This window comes from Homo sapiens, chromosome 18 (assembly GCF_000001405.40).
Source record: "Homo sapiens chromosome 18, GRCh38.p14 Primary Assembly".
Lineage (NCBI taxonomy): Eukaryota > Metazoa > Chordata > Mammalia > Primates > Hominidae > Homo > Homo sapiens.
Genome location: NC_000018.10, coordinates 45044311 through 45068510, shown reverse-complemented (window position 1 = coordinate 45068510; position 24200 = coordinate 45044311). Strand labels below are relative to the sequence as shown.

Sequence of the window (24200 nt, the reverse complement as noted above, 5' to 3'; positions counted from 1 at the left end):
TTAGACTGAATTGAATGTCTTTAATTTCACACAATGAATAACATATGAATAGGATTAACTTTTTTTTTTTAATAGTTAAGTGCTCTATACTGTGCTAACCTGATCTGGTAGCGGAAAAGACTGAGCTTTCTTTTAGAAAAAAATGTTTAAAACCCAACATCTAAGACCATGGAGGAGCATGACAGTAAGCATGCTAGATGTATCTACGCCTCAAATAACAGCAAGTCCATGTTCATTTTAAATGTACAAAAATGCTTTATGAATAAAAACTGTTACAAAAAGAACATTTCAAACAATGTACAATTTTCTTGCCTCTATATTCAATAAAATACAAATACATTTTTTGTTCTAAAATATGTTTACATACAATCAAAGTAGAACATGCAAATTACACTTTAAAAAAGGCTTTTAAAAACCACTTATGAATACAAACTAAAAATTAGCCAGCACGACTTGTAAGACAATCTTGTGCCCCATTTTTTCTTTTGAAATATATATGTACATATTTAACACATCATGTGCATTTATTATTATTTAAGAAATAGATTTTTTTTAAAAAAAGGAAGAAAAAGAAAGACACCAATCTAGGGTGGAACCGCCCTTCCACGTTGACCAGTTGGCAGCTCCTTTCAATTTCCCCCCTTTAGTGTTTATTAGACCTGGGCAAGTGGGCAATAGATATCCAGGAAGTTTCTTCCTTGGTTGATATGTGCTTCTAAGACTGTTCCCCAAATGACTGAGTCCAACAGGGAAGGAAGACTCATCAGTGGGGTGAACTCTCCAAGAAACAAGAGGCAGAGAGGACCTTGTATTGTGGAAAGAAACTTTAAGAAACACCAAGAAAATGCTACGATATATTACAGTTCGAGTTTCTAGGCACTGTGATGACATTATCTGTAAGCTCTGGCATTTGGACCACTGTGATACTATAGGGTAGTGTTGAGAATAACGTCTATATTTATCTACTTTTACATAACGAGAAGGACTGAAAATCCTGCAACGTAACACTTAAATGGCTTTTGAGGCATTTCAGCTTCTGCCACCCCTCTCTCTCCATGCTGCAGTTGGTATTTAAAGGCTTTGGAAATATGTGTGTAGACTTTAGACAGTTCCCAGGTAAATCTTTCTAGTGATAGGAAAAAGATATTCTCCAAAAGCTCATTATCTGAATATTGTTGGGTAATAAGCTAGGAGAGGGATTTTCTACTTAAGTCTTAAAACCAAAGCCTTTATGATCTGCATGTAGTACATCACCTTATACTATAATTCTGTCACCACTTGCTTATCATATTTATAGACCCAGCAATGCGCAGAACACAAATTCTGACTGCCATTGAACATGGCCTCCTAGTCCGGACAGCAGCCAAATTAACATTCTAATCTTCTGCCAGCCCTTAGTCACCTTCTCTGGGCTGTCAGTGGCTGCTGTTTCCTGGTCCTGCCAAGTCACAAACCAGCCCCTGACATGCTTTCCCTTCCTTTGACCTTTCTTCTTTGGGTTTTAGCCAGAGCTGGGCTATTTGAGGAAGTTAAACTTCTGCTCCTCTCATTTGAGATGAGGGGTGGAAGAGCAAGTAGCTCTTCCAGACACTTAGTCAAGTGGATTAAAGATCCATCATCACCTTCAAGGTGACTTTTGTATCTAGATTTCATCCTTTTCTCATCACTAACCAGACTCCTTACAAGTGGGTCTGCATCTGCTTACTGAAGGCAGGTAATCCAGAAAACAAAAGAAAAAGAAATAAAAATCAAGGGGTTTCTCTTATAATGAAATATTTTGTGAAGCTGTATGTGGAGCACCATGCATCCCAAAAGACCTCTTCTCAAAAAAAAAAAAAAAATGCAGCCCCCAGAAGGCAGTGTTGGGGGGCCAGAGACCTCCACGATCAGGGTTGGGAGAGCTGGGTTTTCTTCCTAGCTCTGCAACCGTCTGTAAGCTGCATTGGCCCACGGCTGAGCTGAGTTTGGACAGGTGGGGAGAGGCTAAAGGAATTGGGGGTAGTTAGAGAATAAGAAAATGGTTGTACTGATGAGATGAGTTAGGTTAATGAAAAGCAGAAGAAAAAAATAATGTGATACTGAGGGAGGAACTGGGTGGTGGAGAGAGGAAGCTGAGTAGGTGACTGAACTTGCTTCCACCTCCAAGCAGCTGTTTAGCATGCCTCAGCTTTGGTCCTCTGCAGTATTCCAATCTATTCCTAGGGTCATACAAGTAGAGGATTCGAATTTAACTCACATGACCACTATAGACCAGAATTCACGTGTAAGTTGCAACTCTGCTGTTAAATCTCCTGAAATATCTTTCAGAGCTTTGGAAATTCTAATGTACCCCAAAGCTTTTTTGGAATTTCTCACCTACTAGAGGTTAATGTCAAGTAAACTTTGGGTCCTTATTAAAGAAGTTTGCAGAGTGCCAGCTCATCTTCCTCTGCAAGAAGATTGAGTCTGCTTATAGACGTGGTTGGAGAGATAGTACAACACAGGAAGGAAGAAGGGCAAACGAAAGAAAAAAGGAAATGATTTCAAAACCCAGTAAGAAGAGAAACCTCTTTATGGCTGAATTGGAATGAAAACGTTGCTGTTTTATAGCAATGGTGGGGTGAGAGGGACTAATTTAAACCTTCCTCTCAGGTGACTTTGGAACCACTCAGATAGGGCTTGGGAATGACGAATTAAAAATGGCTGCTTTGATTTTGCTGTTCAACTTGCGTGAAATGCCAAAGGTCAACCAAGGTCACAAACTGAGTATCTAGGATATAAGCTTTAAAGTAGAGGGGAATGCAGTCCTTTAAACTTACATATTGCTAGGATTAAATGCGATTGAACTAGTGGGCAGCAAATGATGTGAAGTCCATGGTGACAGAGCACAGGAGTATGACTACGTGGGTAATTTCAACCAACTCTTGGTGCCATAACGCAGCAGTAATGTTTGCAAGCATATTAACTTGGAATTTAAAAATTTACTCACATAGATACCCCATCACTTATTCTTTTATGTTGCCAACAAAAATCCATCTCTCTCTAAGGAAGTAATATTGTGTTCCGAAATGATAATACAATTTCCAGCTGGTCCCAACTTCCTGTAAAGAAACTTAATTTGGAGGTAAACCAGATATTCTAATTCCCATTAGAAAATTTAATTCTCTCTCTCAGTGTCTCTTTCTATAATCTACCATGCCAGGTGTTTGATGTCTTGGGGAAGGTAAGAGGGAGTGAGGGAGGAAATTGAAAATACTTATTTGAAATTTCCACAATCTGACTTTTAGAAAACATCTACGGAAATGGAATTCTTCATATTCATTCTGAGCCTGCTTAACATATTTTATTTGGGCTGTGGAAATGGATAATAGAGATGGAGTATCTGTCCACGCTAAACCAATGGCTAGAGTACAACTTGGATGAGAAATGTACAGCTGAAATTGACCATTTAAAAGACGATTTGTCACACACAGTTTGCATCCATGCAGACTGATAGATTTATAATTACATTATGTACAATAATGTTTTAGTTTATTAAGGCAACCACAATTTGGATACTTTGTCCAAGGTGGCTTGATAAAATTGAAGTGGTGATACCCTTTGAGCATTTTATTTATTTATTTTTCCAGATAAGAACACTTACTCCCATTTGCTTTTAAGAAATAATTATCAAGGGATAATGGACTTCTATTGTGTTTTTGTTTCCTTTTTTTTTTTTTTTTTGAACAACCTATGACAATTATTTGAATGAAAAAGATCAGGTACCAAGGCATTGCTAGACACTTGTCTTTCTGGTGGGTCTGGGGTTTCAGTTTTTGGTGGTTTGTCAGTTACTCTATTTGCTGTGGGGTATTTAAACCATTTTATTCTGCCTATGCTCTGCTGACATGTTTTAAGTATAAAAATAGCCTGGTTGACATCTGGGTCAACATATCCTTGGCTGCTCTGCATCACTTATTAAAAAGGTTTTATCAATACTGAGTATGTTTCACAACGATTGGGATTCAAACCCAGGTTCTTGGAACAGCATGCCAAGGGTGAACTTTACAGCACAGGTTAAGGATTACTTTATTTAAATGTGTACCAAGAAAAAAAAAAGGCAGCAAGTAAGTTAATGAAAAGATATATGGAAGTACAATGGGCAAAGGAAAAATAGGAATAGACAATGCTAAAAATCAGTGTATGTGCAATAGAAGAGGCACACAGAACATGAATGCGGGTCTGAGGTCGCCTATCACTAGAATTCCACCTTCTGATCACACAATTCCATCGAGAAACTGTACGGTTAAGGGAAAGATTCAGGTCACCTGAAGATGACGTTGGTACCCCAAAGCTTAGCAGAGCTTGAAAATCAAAAGAAATAAAAACCAATTAAATGGAACGGGTTACAGCAATGCCAGTTGAGCAATTTGCAGCTTTTCTCCCCTTGGAATGTTTCCTAATTGAGGGTGTTTCCCTTTCGATTTTCCTGGCCAGCAAATGAAATCGGGAGTCGAGGGCGCACCTTGGCAGCGTGAGGTCAGGAGAGTGCCACCAGCCTGCTCCTCCTGGGGGCCTTCCGCTCGCCTGCGGAGGATCCAGCCGTACTGAAGCGCCGCGTGGTGGGAGCTGCGGTGAAGCTCAGACAAGCTTCTTCTGAAGGTGTCTCCCTGCTTTGCTTTCCCAAGAGCTCCTGATGGCTCAGCCCCGTCGTCTGGCCGGATTCTGCCTGCCCGGCTTCTGGAGAGAAGGGCGTGGGTGTCCCTGCAGCGGGGGATTCCGCCCCCGCCCCGGCTCACTGCGCTTCCCACGTGTCAGTTCCCTAGGCCCCAGGTGCAGACGCCCAGACCCGCCCTAGGGAAGGACCTCGCTCTCACTCCCTCGGGACTTCCTCTGCCTTTTGGCTTTCACCTCCTCTTCCTGGGGAAGGGGCTGCTGCGGGGGCGACTGCTGTGGGGGCTGAGCGGGGGCCTGCGGTTTGTGTTTCCTCTTTCCGCCTCGGGGGGTCTTGGGTAGAGGGGGTGGCGGGGGCAGGGGTGGTGGCGGCGGTGGCGGCAGGGGCGGCGGCGGTGGCGGGGGCAGGGGCGGCGCCTCCCGGGCCATGTGGATGACCGCCTCGATGGTGGCCATGATGGTGTCTTGGCTGGCGGCGGGCTCCAGCACCAGCGGGCTCAGGCTGGGCTTCTGGCCTCTTTTGCTGGGCAGGTCGATGCATTTTTCCAGCACCGGCATTTGGTCTCTGGAGTCCTCATCGAACTGGGTGGGCTGCTTCCTGGGACGCCCGCGCCTCTTCTTCACGAAGTTGTTGCCTGTTTTTGATTGTCTCTGCAGCCGCTTGGCCTTCAGGATCTTGTTCACGTGGTCCAGGTTCTTCTTGGTGGACAGGATCTTGGTGTAGTTGCACATCTTCCGCACTTCGCACTGGATGGCTTCGATCTCCCGCCGCTTGAACCTCTTCTTCAGGGAGGAGCCGACTGCGGGAGGGGAAGAGATAAGAAATTGAGCACAGGATGCAAGGTGCCTTCAACTCAGCCTCTTCACTGACAGCTAGCATTCTACTTGGCTATAAAGATTATAGAGAATTAATGCTATGGGTATGTCTCCGTGCCCAAGATGCATTATTCCTTTTTCTTTATTAAAATAAAAACAAACATTTCTCAAATATTCACTGTGCATGCAAAGTACTTCTATTGACATGATTTCAGTCCTCCCAACAATTATGTGAAATATTGTTGCTTCCGTTGTAAAGATGTGGAAACTGAGGCTCATACTGTGGAGGTAAACTGGCCTAGAGCCGTGGGACTCAATGGCAGAATCACAATATAAATCTTCCCATTATTTCTCTTATTATATAGGTAATTTTGTATTCACCTTTTTGACATTTGATCCGATTCAATTTAGCAAAGGATTAGACTTTCTCTTTTTGTAGGTGTTAGATGAATAAAAAGGCACGTGGGCCTCCATATCAAGCAGATGTACTATCGATCTCATAGAAGAGATGCCTTGGCCTGATCAAGGATAAGAATATGTAACTGAACCATTTTATTCCTAACCCTTCTCCACTGACACAAGGAGGCTTATTTCCTGGAGCACTCTAGTTATCATGGCATCATCTCGCTGTGCTTTTCCCCCAGTGTTCTGGACTAGTCAAGTTCCCTGATGGCATTCAGTTAACCAGGTCCTTCATAACCAGTTCATCCTCTGGGAACCTCAAGGGAAGTATCAGCCAGGTGTTTCTGAATCATTTACACTACCCCTACCAGGCTGGCGTTTGCAAAGAGCTCTTTTCATGTCCTGTTGGCCAGCTGCACCTCTATTTTATGAGCCGAACTTCTTGTCTCAGGAAGTCCTGCGCTGCTGCCACTAAATGGCCTTCAGAACTGCTTAGTTTTGAAGTTCAGACACCATAAAGCGTGAATGGCTTCAAGATATAGCCAACCATTCCTCCTGCAGATCATTCTTTCTCCTTGTGTTGGTCATGAGCAGGCACATGTGTGATACCTGTGTGCACATGCACACACACACACACAAATGGGCACATACACTCACACAGACTCCATGGCTCCACCTTCAAGGTGGCCACTCCCCCTGGCTGTTTATAAACATAAGAAGTGTGTCTTCACTGAGTTCTTTGCCGCTATGATTTACGCTGCATGTTCAACCCGAAAGGAGCCCATGTGGAAGACCTACGCATAGAGGGAAGTGTGTTGCATTTTATCATTTTGGTTTGTTGTTTCCTCCCATTATTACTTTTGTACCTACTAATAGAGAAGCAGAATAAATATCTTAAGAGAGAGGAGGAAAAAAGACGCTTAAAACATGGATACCATTCTCACTTATTGTGGGTACTCCCACTTGATTCTTTCCTCTGCTTTGTCCCATTTCTCTCTCATGCTGTGCCCAGCACAGATTGCCAGGAGGGTTTTATTTGAAGTTATTTACACCCCCAGCTTCATGGAGTGGAAAGAGCTGAGTCCCACAGGCCAGGTCAAAATGTTACAGCTTTTGGCCAAAGGTCAGTGAGACTGACCGAGCAATGAATAACTACTGAATGATCTTTAAAATAAGTTATAAAGATCAAAATAGAACAAAGCCAGAGTGAGCTTCTGACTACAAAAATAAAATTTTTGTAGTTAGTTTTGTAAAAGAAAAAGGTTGCCTGGTTGTAAGTTATCAGAGGCAAGAACCAATGCCTGTCTGTCTTTATGTCCCTCAAAGGGCCTAGCAGGGTGCCTTGTATATAAAAGAGATTTAAGAATTGTTTCTGGACTGACAAATCAGTCTAATCAGGCCTTGTAGTCGTATTCCCTAGAAGAGTTCTAGTTTGGATTTTTAAAGTGATCATTGCAAATATAGTGATACTAAAACTTAGCCCACCTTCATGTCAGTGACAGATAATTTACCTTGTCCACATAGTTCAGGAATCAATGGCAACTAGTCAGTAGTAATACTCCACAAAACTTGACAGTATTCCAAGCAAAGCTTTCATTTACAGTTTGCCCTCTCTTTAGTTTATATCAGTCATAGAGGAAGCAAATGCTATGTGATATATTATATAAAATAGCATGAAAGAATAAAGTAAATCACCTTGCTGACATGTAATATAGAAGTATAAAGTAAATCAATTAGTTGGCAATACTGTATTTGACCGAGTTAAGCTTGATGGAAATACTCCATGAGCTGCAGGTCATTTGGGGAAAATATAACCAATGGATTGTCACTCTATGTGTTGTCTTTTTAAAATGAAATGCCAAAATAAATAAGTAAACAAACCCCAAAAACAAAATCTCCAAACCAAAATAAATAAACAGAAACCTAGCAGATAGCAGATAATTCCATATTCAAAAACATGTGCTGAATAATTTATTAAGTCTTTGCATTAAAAAAGGATTATGAAATAAAAATTAATTCTGATAGTGTAAATCTACCAAACAATCCTAAAAAATGACATAACCAACTCTTTTGTGCCCACCATTCACATTTAGCAAATGTTAACTTTTTGTCATTTTTTTTTTAATAAGAAAACATTACAGATGGAGCTAAGTCATGGCTCCCTTCTCCATTCCTTTCCCTTTTTTCTATGCTTGTTTTAATCCTTTTGTTGCATATATATGAGCTCATGTTGGTAAAAATTAAAAATCTGAATCTACCTAGTATTGGTAATGATGTAAGAAACTAGGAACACTCACATACTGTTGGTGGGAGTGTAAATTGTTATAATCATTTTGGAGAGTGATTGGGCAATAACTGTTAGAGTTGAAGATGTACACATTCAGTGTCCCAGCAATTTCAGGTCAAGCTTGCCTGCTTTACTCATATATATCAGGAGGCAAAAGTCATATAAGGATGTTCCTTGAAGCTCAGTGTATGATACAGAAAACTGAGAACAATCTAATTAATCAACTGTGTTACATAAAATAATGCAATATTATACATCCATTAAAATGAATAAACTACACATAAATATATCAACATGGTTAAATCTCATTTAAAGAGTTGGGTAGAAAAGGAAATCACAAAAACATGTTTAAGTATACTACTTACATAACTTTAAAAACACACGTACATCTTGAACTTTTATTTTATCTTCAGAGTCCAGTTGTGGAGGTTTAAAGTGACTGCTGTGTAGGAGATCAACTGTGAGTCAAAGATTTGGTGGATGACTCACCTACTACTCAACATCTACTTCCCCCCAAGGCAACCTCATAGAGTTTTATTAAGCCACTAGAGTAGGGCTGTCCAACAGAGTTTTCTAAGATGGCGAAAATGTTCTCTATGTGTGTGCTGCCCCATAGAGCCACTAGCCACTTGTGGCTACTGAGCACTTAAAATGTGGCTGGTGTGACTGAGAAACTGAATTTTAATATCACCTAATTTTCATTTAAATAGCTACAGTGTGGCTAGTGGCTACCCTATGGGGCAGCACAGATCTAGAACTAACTACCTTGAACTACAGAGGACAGAAGACACACAGGGATTCATTCAGTAAATTGTGGACTGTGGGAGACTCTAGACAAACAACCTGGTGTCTTCCACAAATAAATCGCAGGGCAGGGAGAAGATGAAACTGTGCATCAAAAGAGACTAAAGAGATAAAGGACCTTATTTGGATGACAATTGGAACAAACTGTTAAAAGAGATCATGAAATAAATGGAAATTTGAACAATGGGCATTTCATGATATTATGTAACTACTATTAATTTCCGTAGGTGTGATATTTGCATTGTGATTATGCTTTTTGAGTACCTATCTTTTAGAAATGCATACTAAAATATTAATAGATGAAATCACATACTATCATCTGGGATTCACTTTAAAATACTAAGGAAGGGAGGAGGTAAGTGGAAGTATTGATGAAACAAGATTGACTGTAAGTTGATATTGTTGAAGCTGAAGTTGATATTGATGGGTACATGAGGTTTATTAATGCTATTCTGTCTACTTTGGTATATGTCTGACATTTTTGATAACACAATGTTAAAAAAATTATAAATAAGTGGCAATAAAACATCCTAAAATCTTAGGGCTGGACAGTGCTCTAATTTTCACCCTCTTGGGGCTTTATTTCACCTAAATATTTTTTGAAGGATAAGAGGAGATGTTCCCCGTGAAGGTCATGCATCCACCATCTCCCTAGAAGGCTTAGCTTGTAGCTGCCCTCCTGTTTTAATGGCACAGAAACATGAATGAGTTCTCTGTGTTTTATGCTTTCACCAACTGCATAAATAAATATATGCCATGAGCCAATCTCCATTGATGGCATCAGGCATTAGGACTTAGTATCCCTCGTTCTTTTGCACATTATAATCTTTAGGGTTTTTCACATCTACCAAACATCTGAATTTCATTTATTTCTCCTTTATGCTTGTTATCCAAACTTTCAGTTCAGATTTGTCATTCCTCTGTGTGAATAATAGCAGAGTATGGTACAGTAGAAACGATTCCGTGTAGAAGAAGCTGGAAAACAAGGTGAACTGAGATAAACCCCTTAACCCCTCCATCTCTGTTTCTTCATCTGTTACATTGGATGGCTGAACCAGATGCTCTTGGAAGTTCCCTTCTATATTTAGTTTGCCGTAATTCTTTTCTATACTCATTATTAATTGCATCCCCAAATGTGGGGTGGCTTTCTAAAACATTTACTTAATCGAATAATTCTAAAATCTTAGTGTGGGGGGAGGAGAACTTCAGACTTGGCAGGGTTTGATATTCACAAATCTTTCCCCTTATTGCTTATGATTTCACTGTCCCTCTAAATGTTTACAGATTTTTCTCTCTTCAAATTGTTTCATTATTGGACAGTCATTTCTGGGCTCTTGCTGCAAGATTGATTCCATATTTGCTCTCCTTCCTACAATTGTCCTATATCTTGCCTGCTCTTTGTTAGTTTTAAAGAATAATTATTGAGTGGCCCAGGCAAAATGCAAATTCATTTCTTCATAACTCGGCAATACAAATTTTCTTTCAGACCCTATCTATATTTGAAATTGCCATGCAAATGGTTGAGCTGGTTTTGGTCCAGATCTAGACATTCTATCTTTTCACTCCCATTATCAGAAGATTGGCTCATCAGCATTCTGTTGATTTTGTCAAGTCGTTTATGGTAACTAGAGAATGGACTTAGCACTGCTTTTTGGATGCAGAATTTGTACATACAGTAGGCCCCCTGAGCCAAAGGCTAACAAGGCTTAGTTATATAGAAGATTCTCAAGAAATAGACACTCATGTTTGTGGACTGTACTTTGCCCATGTACAAGACACATTCTATTTTACAAGAAAGCTTTGGGTGGATTGTGGAGGGAGGCAAATTTACTTCTAGATTCCTTAGAATTTTTCTTGCTGTTTGAATGTTCCTAAGGGGAGGTGGAAAGATGTTGAGGAAGGCTGAACTGCCTGGAGTTGGGGTGCATTTCAGGGCAGATACAGCTGGAATATCTTGTGCTTCAATCAAGGCGGAGAGTTGCAGTATGAATTGCTCTGTGTGCTGATACATGTTAGAAGATTCTCTGAAGGCAAAGGCCACATCTTTTTTTCTCTACTTCCAGAGTTCCCAGCACAGGCCCATTGATACAGCAGTACCTGATCTGGTGCATACTATGTGATCAGCAAATACAAGCTCAATGGCATTCAGTTGTCTCATGTTCTCTAATGTAAATCCTGCATTTTATTTATTTATCTTACTTTGTACTTCTGCTTGCCTTGGTAATGGTCTCTTATTTTCCTAATGCTGCTTTTTATTTTTAATGGGGAGAATGAGGCAACCTACCTTGGCATGCAAACTTTCTTCTTCCATCCTTAGAATTTAAATTAACCTTCTACAGTCCTGGCCTTAAAAGCTCTTTTGAAAAAGATGGCAAGTTGCCTCTGCTAGTGAGGCCTCTGCAAGGTAGGGGGCATCTGAGTTGCTGCTTGTTATCAACACAAATGCTACAGAACTGCTAAGTTTAAAGCAGTAATTTAGAATTAAGAGTTAGCAGATGTGGGGGATTTGTCATATGATGGTGTTTTCACTCTGTTCTTAATATCATCTTAACATACTTTGGGGTTTCTTTGAAAACATGACTAGCTTGTTTAAAGCATAGTAACTGCTTGACTATTCAAACAACAACTTATTCTTAGGGGTTTATTGTGAAAGAACTTTTTATCTTAGTTGCAGTGGCTTGAAGGACTCTGGTCTGTGTTCTGCTCCTATTTCACATTTTTTCTTGGGACAAGGTAGGAGAGGTGGGCAGACTGGCTGATGGAGAGGTGAAGCAGTGGGGTATGTTAAGTGTGAGCATGTTTATGTGTGTGAGCTCTGAAGTGGGCTAGGCCACCAAACAGTTAGTGCCCCAGGGCAGCTCTCTAATCTTCTCAGGAAGGGTGTTGGATTTAGAAATCGGCCTAGTGCTCTCCTGCCCCTGCCACCTTGCCCACACTGTTCACCTCCTCTCTGCCTCTCTAAATTAAACCAGCAGCTTCCCAAGTGGGGTGCACATTCCCTCCAGAGGAAGCCAGACAATTTACTGAGCTGCAGAAAGAACACATTAATAATTTGTATTTACATTATTTATATTTTACCTAAATAATTCTAATGCTTAATAAATGGAACTCCAGCCATGCCCTTACTTGCGCTGCCCATCAGATGACAGGTCACCTGTCACACTTGGGCATGAGATTCCTGGGAGGAGGAGAGGCCATGTGCATTCAAGGGGTTGATGGGGGATCTCACTGGCTTTCAGGGTGCTGTCAGTGTCCCATATTTTAAATCTGTAGCAGGCCAGCCCACACGGTAATTTTAGAAAAGCAAGACTTTTCAACAGAAAAACATTTCAAAATACTTTGTAATGAGATGAAGAAGACCCATACAATACTTTATATACCACATAGAGTTCTGTTGGTTATTTCACACCAAACTGTATACATGAGTTGCCATTTTCAAAGATGAATTTGGCAATTTTCTTGTACAAAAAGACAAGGGTTCCAAATTTTCTTAACTCTTCTAGGCTGTCAATGGACTGTCAGTAATGTTACCCTGCAGATGTTAAAAAACAAAACACTTAATGTCCCTTTACAGTAAACTGGGCCAGAAAGTAACTGCTTTTGGAAAGAAACTCATGCTATAGAAAGAGCAGTTTTAGAAATTTATTGCAAATGTTTCCACCATTTGGCAATTTTGTTGCTGAAAATAATATAACCTATAAAATCCCTTTAATCTGCAAATTTGAATACCTTGCAAACAGAACTACTTTCGAATGAAGAGTTGGACTAAAAAAAATGGACCATCTAATTGTTAATAAAGAGGATGGTTTGCCAAGTTTCAACAAAAATCTTGTTTAACTGATAGATGAGATTGGAAAAAAATAGTACTGATTTAAGCACAGTCAACAATGTACTTTATTCTTTTGAATCTACGTGTATGTGAAATATTCTTTATCCTACAACAAGTATTGAAACAAACTGAATTCAGAAAGAGAACTTTAAATTACTTATCACAAGTGCTTAAAAAAAAACCAAGATTTTCAAAAACAAGTATACAAACTCAATTGCTTGGCTCTCCTTAAAAAACTATTAAAAATATTTAAATCAGTATAACATTTTGATAGCAACAAAAATATTTTTGTTTCATTAATAATAGGTAAAATGAAATTTAAAATAATTTTAAGAATATAATGTATTTCAAGTTTATCTCATCCTGTTAAAGTTTGTATTTAAGAAAAAGAGGGCACATATTTTTAGTATGTATTTAAATGGTATGACTGTTCAAAATTATGTTACTAATATCACTGCATGATCAAAAATCTGGAGCCCACTGCTTTAAAGTTGTCCTTTCTTTTTCAAAAAACTCCTCGAGAGTTTATTCACTCACTTGGTATTTAATCCTCAAAGATCTTAACTTTCTATGGCCTAGGAAGCATTAAAGCTTCTTGAAGACAGCATGTGTTGTCCTTTTTCATACCCTTCAAAACAAAGAACACAGTTCCTGTGTCATAGTAGATGTTTGATTAATATTTCCTGCTAGATTGTTTCAGACTGTCAACTCCTAGAGCCCAAATCCTGGAGAGCATTCATCTTTATATTCCCCAGAACACCTTTAATTGAGTTGCATGCAATTCCATGGCAGTGAGGGGTGCCCTATCCATGGAGAGCTCCTTGAATGGGATTTAATGCTGACATTCTTTATTTGATTAGGCAATTCACAGGTCCTGGTCTATAGGCTTCTCTGACCATAAGGAAATAACGCCAGTTATTTCATGGGCCCACGGGTTAGACAAACCACCTGGGACTTTGGACAGATAATGACAGTGGCGACTCATTCCAGAGATAATCTAAGCTGAGTAAAAACATTGCTAGGTTGCTCAAGGGACTTCTAAGGAGGGCAAGCCAGATTTTGGCAGTCCTGAAAAAACTGGGCAAAACAGAGACCTCAGAAATAAGAGAACCAGCAAAAGATGAGATTATAGCTCCCTGTAAGGTGCATCATGAATATTCATCACAAGGGGTTGCCCACCATGGATGAACAGAGGAGTGTTTTAAGTCTGGGGGATTTTCTGGAGATGCTATTTGTCAGCCACTTATAAATAGTCAGCTGGGCACGGTGGCTCACGCCTGTAATCCCAGCACTTTGGGAGGCTGAGGTGGGTGGATTACGAGGTCAGGAGTTTGAGACCAGTCTGGCCAACATGGTGAAACCCCATCTCTACTAAAAATACAAAAAGTAGCCGGGTGTGGTGGCGCACGCCTGCAATCCCAGCTACTCAGGAGGCTGAAGCAGATAAATCACTTGAACCCTGGAGGCGGAGGGTGCAGTGAGCCAAGATTGTGCCACTGTACTCCAGCCTGGGCAACAGAGCCAGACTCTATCTCAAAAAAAAAAAAAATTAGTGGCTTCCTAGGCTTTTGGTAAGGAGTGAATTGGGAATGGCAGCATTGGTAAACTGAGAAATACGAGGGCATTTAGCCGTCCTCTGTTTCATTCAACTTTGGCTTTTGTTTGTTGTAATATGGATCAAGTCCCAACACACTGATGAGACAACATGGAAGGCTGGATAGAAATGTAGTTAACGCCAAAAAGTTTGAAGCTACATCTGTTGAGTCTCACAGCATGCCAGTTGGTCACACAGTGGGGGTGGTTGCACCCTCTCAAAGGGCTCTTTATATTTCTTTTTTCTTTCCTCTCAAATGTGGTATCACTTTATCCTTAACCATAAATACCTTCTCTTATATAATACCCCAACTATTGTGCATGCATGTTCTTACCTGATTGTGAGACATTTTCTTTGTCTCTTTAAAACTTTGAAAAAAAATAGAGGGAAGAACAAAGAACCATATAGCAAACATGAACATAGGAAAATTTCCACATTTTAAATATTTAGGCTCAGATAAAATAAGTCCTGTTGACCATGCTAGAACTTCAAGAATTACATATAATGGTGAGTATCTCTGTTTTGTTTTTTTCCTGGTCTTAATAGTAACTGCATTTGTTTATGTATTAGCTAGCATACTTGGCAATCTGATGGAAAACATATTGACCAGGACATTAGAAGAATGAGGTTCTGATCTTAGCTTATCACCCCTCAGTTCTGTGTCTCCAGACAAATCTCTCAATTTCTTGAAAGGACCCTTGCTTCTCAATAAACATAATTCTACAAAAGTCATATACCTCCAGGTTTTCTGTGCTCTGGGTAAGACATCCTCTAATCCTTCATCTGTGTTTCCTATCAGATGAATTCTAGATCAAAACAAATTTTTCATTTTGATCACTCTCTGGAGATTATATCATCTGCTAAAGTTGATCTGAGATTTTAGTGCCTAGAATTGAACTGATTTTCTAGATATGAAGTGGTTAGTACAGAAAAATTGGTTTGATTATTTTCTGTGTTCAAGGCACCACATTTATATTAAAAAAAGCTACATTTTTTAAAAACTGCATTTTTTTTTTCCCCCAACAACATTCTACTGTTGGCTCATGTTAAATGGAGGCTCAATTAACTCCCTTAAACACTTTCAAATAAACAGCTACCAACACTGGCCAAGGCTATGTGGAATTGGGTGTTAAGCTTAAATGCAAGCCTTCTATTTAAATCTGCAAAGTTTAATTTTATTAACTTTGTGAATTAATATTCTAGTCTGTTGTGAAAATTTTGAAACTTAATTTTGTTTTCTCAAAAGAGTTCTCAGATTTTTAGGAATTTTCAAAGGGCTCGAATACTCTAAAAGTTAATGCCTGTCCTTTTAACTACCTCTGGGCTGGATTCAAGTGACTAAAAGCCATGCTATCATTTTTTCTTTATTGAAGTTTTTAAAGAAAAAGATGTCAATTTACAAAATTAACTATCTTTGTATTCTCCCTAAAAACAACAAGCAATTCACACCAATTGCTTTCGACTTTCTCCTGTCTGTCTGGTTAGTAGATGATGGATGAACCACAGAAACAATAATTTTGCATAGCCTACAGGTGTGTGTGCCCAACTCTATTATTTCTGTAAGTGTCAGAGAGGATATTACATCTGATGTTGAATAGGGAAAAAAGTCTTGCATTTTTCTCTTATCCAGAGGCAACTCTTCTGCCCTAGTGAGAAAAAAATAAAAGAAACAACACAAAGCAATACCAGGCATTGTTCCAGTGCTCCCAAATTTCCACTGGAATTCAGTTTATAATTCAGTCTTAAAGCTTTTTATGAACACTTCATATCTTTGTATATTCCACCCATTCTTTAAAAGTCCAATTAAGTCCTCTTCCTAAAAGCCATGCATGGACTCTCATTTCAGCATTCATCTGTTTGCTCCTCTCTATGTTGCCTGTATCTCTCTGATGGCACTTCACTTAGTCTGCCCTCTATTATGATTATGGGATTAATCTATATGAACGCTCTTCGTAAACTCTATTTTTCCTAAGGGACAAGGACCATCTCTTAGCCCTTCATATTCATGCTTGGAATAAACATTGATTCAGGCCCAGTTTGTGCCAGGCACTGTACGGGGCATGGAATGTTGTGCCTTCCCCCTAGTGAGCAGCACAGAGTCTAGCTGACTTACTTGAAATCAATCTACGTGACTTGACTTAGCACTTACGATCTATTTTGTAAAGTCTGTGTTTGAGGCATGAAAGGATGTTTTTGGAGATTCAAATCACTGTCAATTAAATTAGGTCCTCACATATTTCAGCTGTTCCCTACTCCGTTCAGAGCACCATTAACTGAAAGTCTCTCAGAACCAAGTACTGTGAAATATAGACCAACACCTAAACTTCATTCCATAAGAGAAGTGGAGTTTCAATGACAAAAACATGGACTAAAGCAAGATTGGAATTTATTAAGAGTCACCAAGAAAACCAGCTTGAACATTTAAGGACATTAAGGATGTTAAGAACGTTAAGATTGACTGAAACGATGGGTCCCCTGGAAAAGGAACACATGCACATATTATACATTAGAGGGAGAGAGAGAAGCGGGGGAAGGAATGGTCTTTTTTGTTGTTTTTGAATAGACTTTTTTAGAGCAGTTTTAGATTCATAGCCAAATTAAACTGAAGGTACAGAGACAGAGGTTTCCCATATATTCCCTTGCCCCAGCACATGTATAGCCTCCACTATGAATGGTCTTTTCATTGCCAAGCATGTGAATCAGAATCATAATGGTTTATTACGGGAGAAGGGTCATATGCTCTCTTGGCAAATATATATACATTCACATTCTGAGTGCTATACTAGGAGTTTTTTGAAAAAAAATTGCTTTAACTTTTTCTTTTTTTCAAGTATAAGCTTGAACAGACTCAAGACGGCAAACACTCCCTCCTCAATTTAAGATTTGACAATTTAAGAAGAAAAAGCTCATTCATCATCTTTCCCTTTTAGAGACCATAAATTATTGGCTCATACACCATGTGGCTTGGATTCTAGGAAAAGTTAGTGTAAACAAATCCAAGTTACAATGCGTGGAGTAGGAGAGTGAGTCATAAACAAAACACAGACATATGCTCTCATATAAATAAGGGCCTGGATCATCAGCTTCCCAGAGTCTGCTTCCCATTAATTACACAACAAAATGAACTTTCCATATGTAAAGCCCAAATCACTTAACTCTGGCAACTTGTATAAGACAAAGACCAGGATTGTGACTAGGTAGGCACTAACAAAACTAGATTTCAAAATAAAAAGTGTCCTCTCAAAATATCTTCAGGCATTGGAGAACAAGAAGATGCCCTGGAGGAGAATTTTTGAGTAACAAAACTATCCCCAGGCACTCCAGGAAGCCTGCTTAGAGGCTGATATGGATCCCTGCTGAATTTATAGGTAGTATTAGGCATATTCTCTTTTGTTCTGAGTCCTGTCATTTTTCTGATGCTGGCTAGCCCTGGATCCCGGCCACACAGAGTGTTCACACACATTGCTGGGACCACTGAAAAATTTCCATTCCTTCGATCAGTTCCTTCTCTCTGTCTTTTGAAACTATCCATTGGTAGCACTAACTCACATTTCCTGATTGTCTCATGAAGACTATCTGGTCTCTTTTAGTTTAAAGAGGTATCAAGGAAAACATAATTCCTGGGGAAGAGTGTTCTTCAATAGGTCAGACACTCCAAGAGAGAGGGAAAGTGAGGTTTTTCCTTATGTCCCTTTCAAAAGCTGATTCCATAAAATAAACTAACGGAGTTAGTTCCAATGGACATTAAAACAACAGATCTTAAACTTTAGGTGTCCTGGATAGGGGAAAGAGGACAAAAAGGACTTTTACTCTTTACTAGTTGTGGGGGTGAGGAGGTAGCTTTCAACCATTCACAAACTCACGGACTATTTTTGTAACAGCTATGCTTTGTATCATACCTTACACCGTACAAGGCAAGTAGAATGCATTGCTCTTGCCCTCAAATGAAGGCAAAGAGGGAAGGAACTAACATTTTTTGAAAACCTACAGTGTATATTGCAGTATTTCATGTATTTCCTCATTTAATTGTGATTACAACCACTTGAGGACCTTGATTAGTGTCCCTTAGTTCCTCTACAGTACAGAGATGAAAACCAAGTATTTTTTTCCTAAGAGCACACATCTCAGAAGTTGTGAAGGCAATAATCAAAGCAACTGCTGCCTCATTTCAAAGCTAATTTCATGCTATATTTCCTTAAGAAAGCAAAGAAGACAGGGAGCTAGAAAAAGACTGATAAAACCTGGGTTTCCTCATTAATTTTATACTCTTGTCTGTATTGGAGTGCCAAATTTCTCTGAATTTCACCATCTCGAAGGCCTTTTCCAACCCCCTAAATTCCATAATTAAATAACGGAAGATATTACTGCAGATGACACATCATTGCTGCTAGATTAACTGTTCCTGCACACTGTTTTGATTCTGCTCCAGTTCAATGCCTTCAATGGCTCCCTGTAGGGAGCCAGACATTCAAGGTACTGAGAGAAGCTGGTCAGGGTTATGAAGAAAGGTAGGAGGCAGGGCATGGTAAACACAAGAGACTATGGCACATTTAATGGGGAAAATTTATCCTATTCCAATCAATTATTCCCAGTTAAAAATCTGAGCCCAAAGATGACAGTTTCATAAAGCCAGAAATCTTGATTATTATGTAAATCTTCTGATGTTCATAAATGGCTAATTTTTTAAAATTTATAACCTTCCGTAGGCCAACCAAAACACGAGTGTAGACAGCAATTGGGCCATGGCTGTCATTTTGCTATCATTGCCGGTCAGAATAGTCACCCTGCCTTATTCTAGACTTTTGGGTACTCCATCTTCTGATCTCAAATTTCCCTTCCAGACTCATCTGCCATTATTTCCATATAAATGCTGTATTCCTATCTCCTAGCTTCTGTCTGCTTACCTAATTCAGTTTATCTTTAGAAGTCCATCTTAACTCTTCTCTTCCCAAAAGAGAATCTCTTAGTACCATTCAGTTGAAAATTCATGACCAACCAATTGCTGAATAATAGTTTTGTTAGTATCTCAGATTGTTATTCGATCTATTCATTTAAAAATACTATTTGGTCATCTCATGTTTTGGAGGCAGGCCTTCCCACGTAGTGTTAAAGCTCCTCTGGGGCAGGGGCTAATCTTCTATTTTTTTTTTTTTTTTTTTTTTTTTTTTGAGACGGAGTCTCGCTCTGTCGCCCAGGCCGGACTGCGGACTGCAGTGGCGCAATCTCGGCTCACTGCAAGCTCCGCTTCCCGGGTTCACGCCATTCTCCTGCCTCAGCCTTCCGAGTAGCTGGGACTACAGGCGCCCGCCACCGCGCCCGGCTAATTTTTTGTATTTTTAGTAGAGACGGGGTTTCACCTTGTTAGCCAGGATGGTCTCGATCTCCTGACCTCATGATCCACCCGCCTCGGCCTCCCAAAGTGCTGGGATTACAGGCGTGAGCCACCGCGCCCGGCCCTAATCTTCTATTTGTATATATCATTCATAGAATTGAGTGCAGTGTGGCAAGTTCTTAAAAAAAAAAGGTTGACAATTTTTAACAAAGTCTTACAGATGTTTGAATAAGATGAGCTTGATATAGCCACTAACGCCCTCAAGGGTAGGGGACTTGGACTGTGTCCTGAGATAAGAGTATTTGGAAGGGGGAGTGAGGATACATATCATTTTCTAAAGGATAGTTAATGGATATTATGATCTAAGTCATCACATGGCTAAATTGTGACTTCACATGATTAAATCCTGACATGAGATAACTTTAGTTCTGACATGAGAGGGTTTCATAAAATACTTACATGTTAAGTTTTGAATATGTGATTGGTGTTTTCATCTGCTATTTCATTTCTTTCTTGCTCCTGCCTAGAAGGCAGAAATCACTTTTCTCATTTCATTGATGAGAAAACTAGAACTCAGAAGTCTCAGTGAGACTCTGTGACTTACCTAAGGGGATGGATTAAAAAGTATGGCAGTACTATAATGAGGACACCGCAATAACCCTGACCCTTGAATTTCAAATCCAGTTCCACTCTGCCTCAATGTGGTGGCCAGAAAGAGTCCAAGTTTCTGAGTTCCCAGTCAGGCAATATTTGTAACCCTTCTGGTCTCAATTTTCTCATCTGCAACATGAAGTGTTTGGCAAAAGTCCCTTGTAGTTTATTGTAATCCAGGTTTGTCTAGTCTGTTCCAATTGAAGCAGCAGGAGGAGACTCCTTGGGAAGATATGTTGGGATGACTCCAGTGTCTCCCAGGGAGAGAATGGAGAGAGCAGACAGGTGAGTGATCTCTCTCTCTCTCTCTCTGTCTTTGTCACACCTGTCTCACAATCTTTACTCTATTCTCTGTCCCTGCCTCCTTTCTCTCCATGCCTCTTCTCTGTCTCTCTGCTGTCTTAGACTGACTACAGCCTGCCTGGACCACTCAAGATCATTCTTAATGACAGTCATTACATAGTTCTTCTGCATTGCCTGAGACCATTTCTGCAGCAATGAATGGGAAAGATTTTGCCCTGCCACCCCCTACTCCTGCAGCTGGGCTCACTATGCCAACTTTATTGGAACCAAGAAGTTTTTCAAAAACTCTCCATTAATTACAGAAAACCCAATGCACAGTGCCCCCTTCTCATTAACACAGTTGCTTTCAGTTGCCACTAAATTATCTCACCACCATGACACCAACAATCTAATTAGACTTCTAGAAATGGAAAGCGCCAGTGAACAAGGCAGGCACCACACTTTCATCTCAAAACTGATCATAAAATATATGTGCCCTTTAATTCTTTGCCACATAAACTCTGCCCCATAAGAGTCTCCTTTCATTCTCTCCCATTTATAAAGAGAAGCTTGAATATTTGATATAAAATGAGTATCTTAATAGAAATCGCTTCACGTATGGGAGGTTTTCTTTTCCGAGTGTGAGGTCATTACAATAATCGCACCTGACTCCCTGGGCGTCTGATGCCTCACAGCCAAACCTCCCACTGGGCTTCAATGGAGGTGTGAATGATACTATCACTGGGAAGAAGATAAAACGTGTTATTATCATTACTCTATTTTTAAGAGGGTCTGACTGTGGCATGAGGTGGTTGGGAGCATAATCTGTATGAAGCATTCAGAGAAGATAAATTGAGTTAAACTTCTCAAGACACAGCACTTTCAAACCTGTCATTAAACCTCTGTATTTCCTAAAATCTCAGCTCTGGAGAGAAAATAATTAGCTAAGTGAAGTCCAGGCATGTCTATTGAGTATCTACTAAGCACCCAGCATCGTGCAAGATTCCTGACATTCAAATAAGATTATGAGTTGCTTAACAGCAAGTCTCCTGGCTTTTGCTTCTCTTATTTTCATTCCATACATCCCAAGGTTTTGGGAATTGAGATGCCCAATACTTATTGAGTGAGACAAAATCTAAATAGCAAATGGTTGCTGCCCTAGTGAAACCAATACTCTGGCCACAATGCAAGACTAACACATACAAAATAATTAAAGTACTGCATAGGCTGATGCACTCTCCCGTTTTCCATTGAATGGCTTATCCTGAAATTCTCACAGAACTTCTGAGTGAAGGAAGACACATATGCGTGCATATTCCTTCTTCTCTGAATAAATACACACTTTGGTAGTGCAAGTACAATGCCATATAGGCTGAATCTTTAACTCAAGAATAATCATCTTCAATACGCTGGAGGACTAACTAAGGGCTGGGCTGCTATTAATGAACAAAGGAGGCTGGAGGGCTGCCAAGTTGTTCTAGGTTGCTCCATCTGGTGAACTTTCTTAGGATGGTTTGCTGCTTCTGGATCTGATATAGAAACTGAAGGAAAATCACTGCCCCTTAACTCTAATGAATATTAGAGTTCATACACTCTTGAGTGTACCTTTTCATGAACCAAACACGTTTGTGCAGGAAACAGTTGTTCAATACACTTTGGCTAATATTTAGCAATTACTTATTGTTTGCCCACCTCGGTGCTAGGTAAAGTTGAATAAGATCTGGCCACAGGGACTATGCGATCCTTTGGTCCACTGTGGGACACAGGTGGAGCACAGACACTGTATTAAATGTAGGAATCAATGATCAATGAGCTTATAGGGAGCCAGGGAGGCACAGAGGATGTGGCATTCAACTTGACCTTGTGGTTCTCAATATGAGTGTCAGGGAAGGCTTGTTAGAGCTGAAGGCACCTATGCTGAGGCTTGAAGAAGCATCATGAATTAGCCATTCAAAGGGCATGAGAGGTGGGCAAGGGGGAAAAAGATAAAAAAGTTCCAGGGAAGAAAACAGACAACATCAACAATAGCAGCAGCAAAAACAGCACCCACTTGTCAAACTCTTACTATGTGTCAGGTACTTTGCTAAACTTTTCCCAAGGATTATCTCCATTATTATTCACCACGATCCTTGACACTAGGTCATATTCTTTTCCCCATTTTACAGACATGAACACTGAAGTCTTGAGATCACCTAGCTGGTGAGTGGAGCACTGAGATTTCAACACAGGCAATATAAAGCCAGAACACATGCATTCAACCAGAGCATTTCATGGCCCATGTGTGGTGTGTAGAAAAAATGAGCCAAAACTTAGAAACAAGGCAAATGGAAGGAGACAAGTCCCTTTGGGCCTCCCCAAGGATTATTAACAGTCCAGGAAAATGTGCCCTTGTTCGGCTTGCTGTCCACTACTGATTAAAGGCTTGGAATCTGCCAGCTTCTTTTTGGAGGGGAGGATGGAGCTTGCTCTGTCACCCAGGCTGGAGTGCAGTGGTGAGATTTCGGCTCACTACAACCTCCGCCTCCCAGGTTCAGCAGGTGCAAGTGATTCTCTTGCCTCAGCCTCCAGAGTAGCTGGTATTATAGGTGCCCGCCACTATGCCTAGCTAATTTTTGTATTTTTAGTAGAGAGCGGGTTTCTCCATCTTGGCCAGTCTGGTCTCGAACTCCTGACCTCGTGATCCACCTGCCTTGGCTTCCCAAGTGCTGGGATTACAGGTGTGAGCCACTGTGCCTGGCCTGTATTTTTTTATTTTTTTTTTTAGTAAAGACGGGGTTTCACCACGTTGGCCAGGCTGGTCTCGGACTCCTGACCTCAGGTGATCCACCTGCCTTGGCCTCCCAAAGTGCTGGGATCAGGCATAAGCCACCGCACCTGGCCAATCTGCCAGCTTTTATGTTAACTTGTGGACTTTTGCCCAGCAAAGAAGCAAATGATTTTTGTTTGGTAGAAGAGATAAACCACGAGGTTATGATTTTATTGCCTGTTAGGACACTAACTGAACAACTTGCTCTACACGCTTTCTCCAGTGCCTGCATTCTCATAATGCCCCGTTGTCTAATTCTCCTTTGGGCTGGCTTTACCACCATGCTGTCTTCTGCATTAAAGAGTTGAATGAACCTTTGAAATAACTTTAGTTTTTTGAAAATAATACTGTGGCAGTGGAAATCCCAAAGGAGTTGAAATTTGGTTCAGATTTCCAAGGAGATGAAGCTGGGGCAGAAGGCAGGGTCAGATTCTGGAAGGTTTGGTGCTTCCCTGGGCTTCCCTTGGCCATAGGAGAAGCTCAGCTGCTCTAGGAGGTTCAGATTAAATCAGAAAAGAGCTTATTTCTCCTTTAAGAGTGAAAATAACAACAAGTTTTGGAGGTTTTTCAGAAGGCTTTTGGTGTGTGATGGGGAAACACAGAAGCTTCCAACCCTGCCGAGTCCCTTGGTGGCCCAGAGCTGCGGGAGGGAGTGCCTTTCATGCACGTGCCATATTCAGCACAGCTTTCAGGACAAACGGGCTCATTTTGTGAGGCTTCAGCATGAGCCCATAGGTAGCACTTTTCAGACAACTTGAACGATTG

At 40.3% G+C, this 24200-nt stretch overlaps 1 protein-coding gene across 17 annotated transcripts in view; it reads right to left on the bottom strand.

The window, feature by feature from the left end:
* Positions 1-24200, bottom strand: part of SETBP1 (SET binding protein 1) — a 388438-nt gene continuing 364238 nt past the window's right edge. For all 17 annotated transcript variants that reach the window (XM_024451149.2, XM_024451156.2, NM_001379141.1 and 14 more), the window contains one exon: positions 1-5432. In XM_024451149.2, the coding sequence (XP_024306917.1) occupies positions 4813-5432 (620 nt within the window). In that variant the 3' untranslated portion in view covers positions 1-4812. The remainder of the gene's footprint in view (positions 5433-24200) is intronic.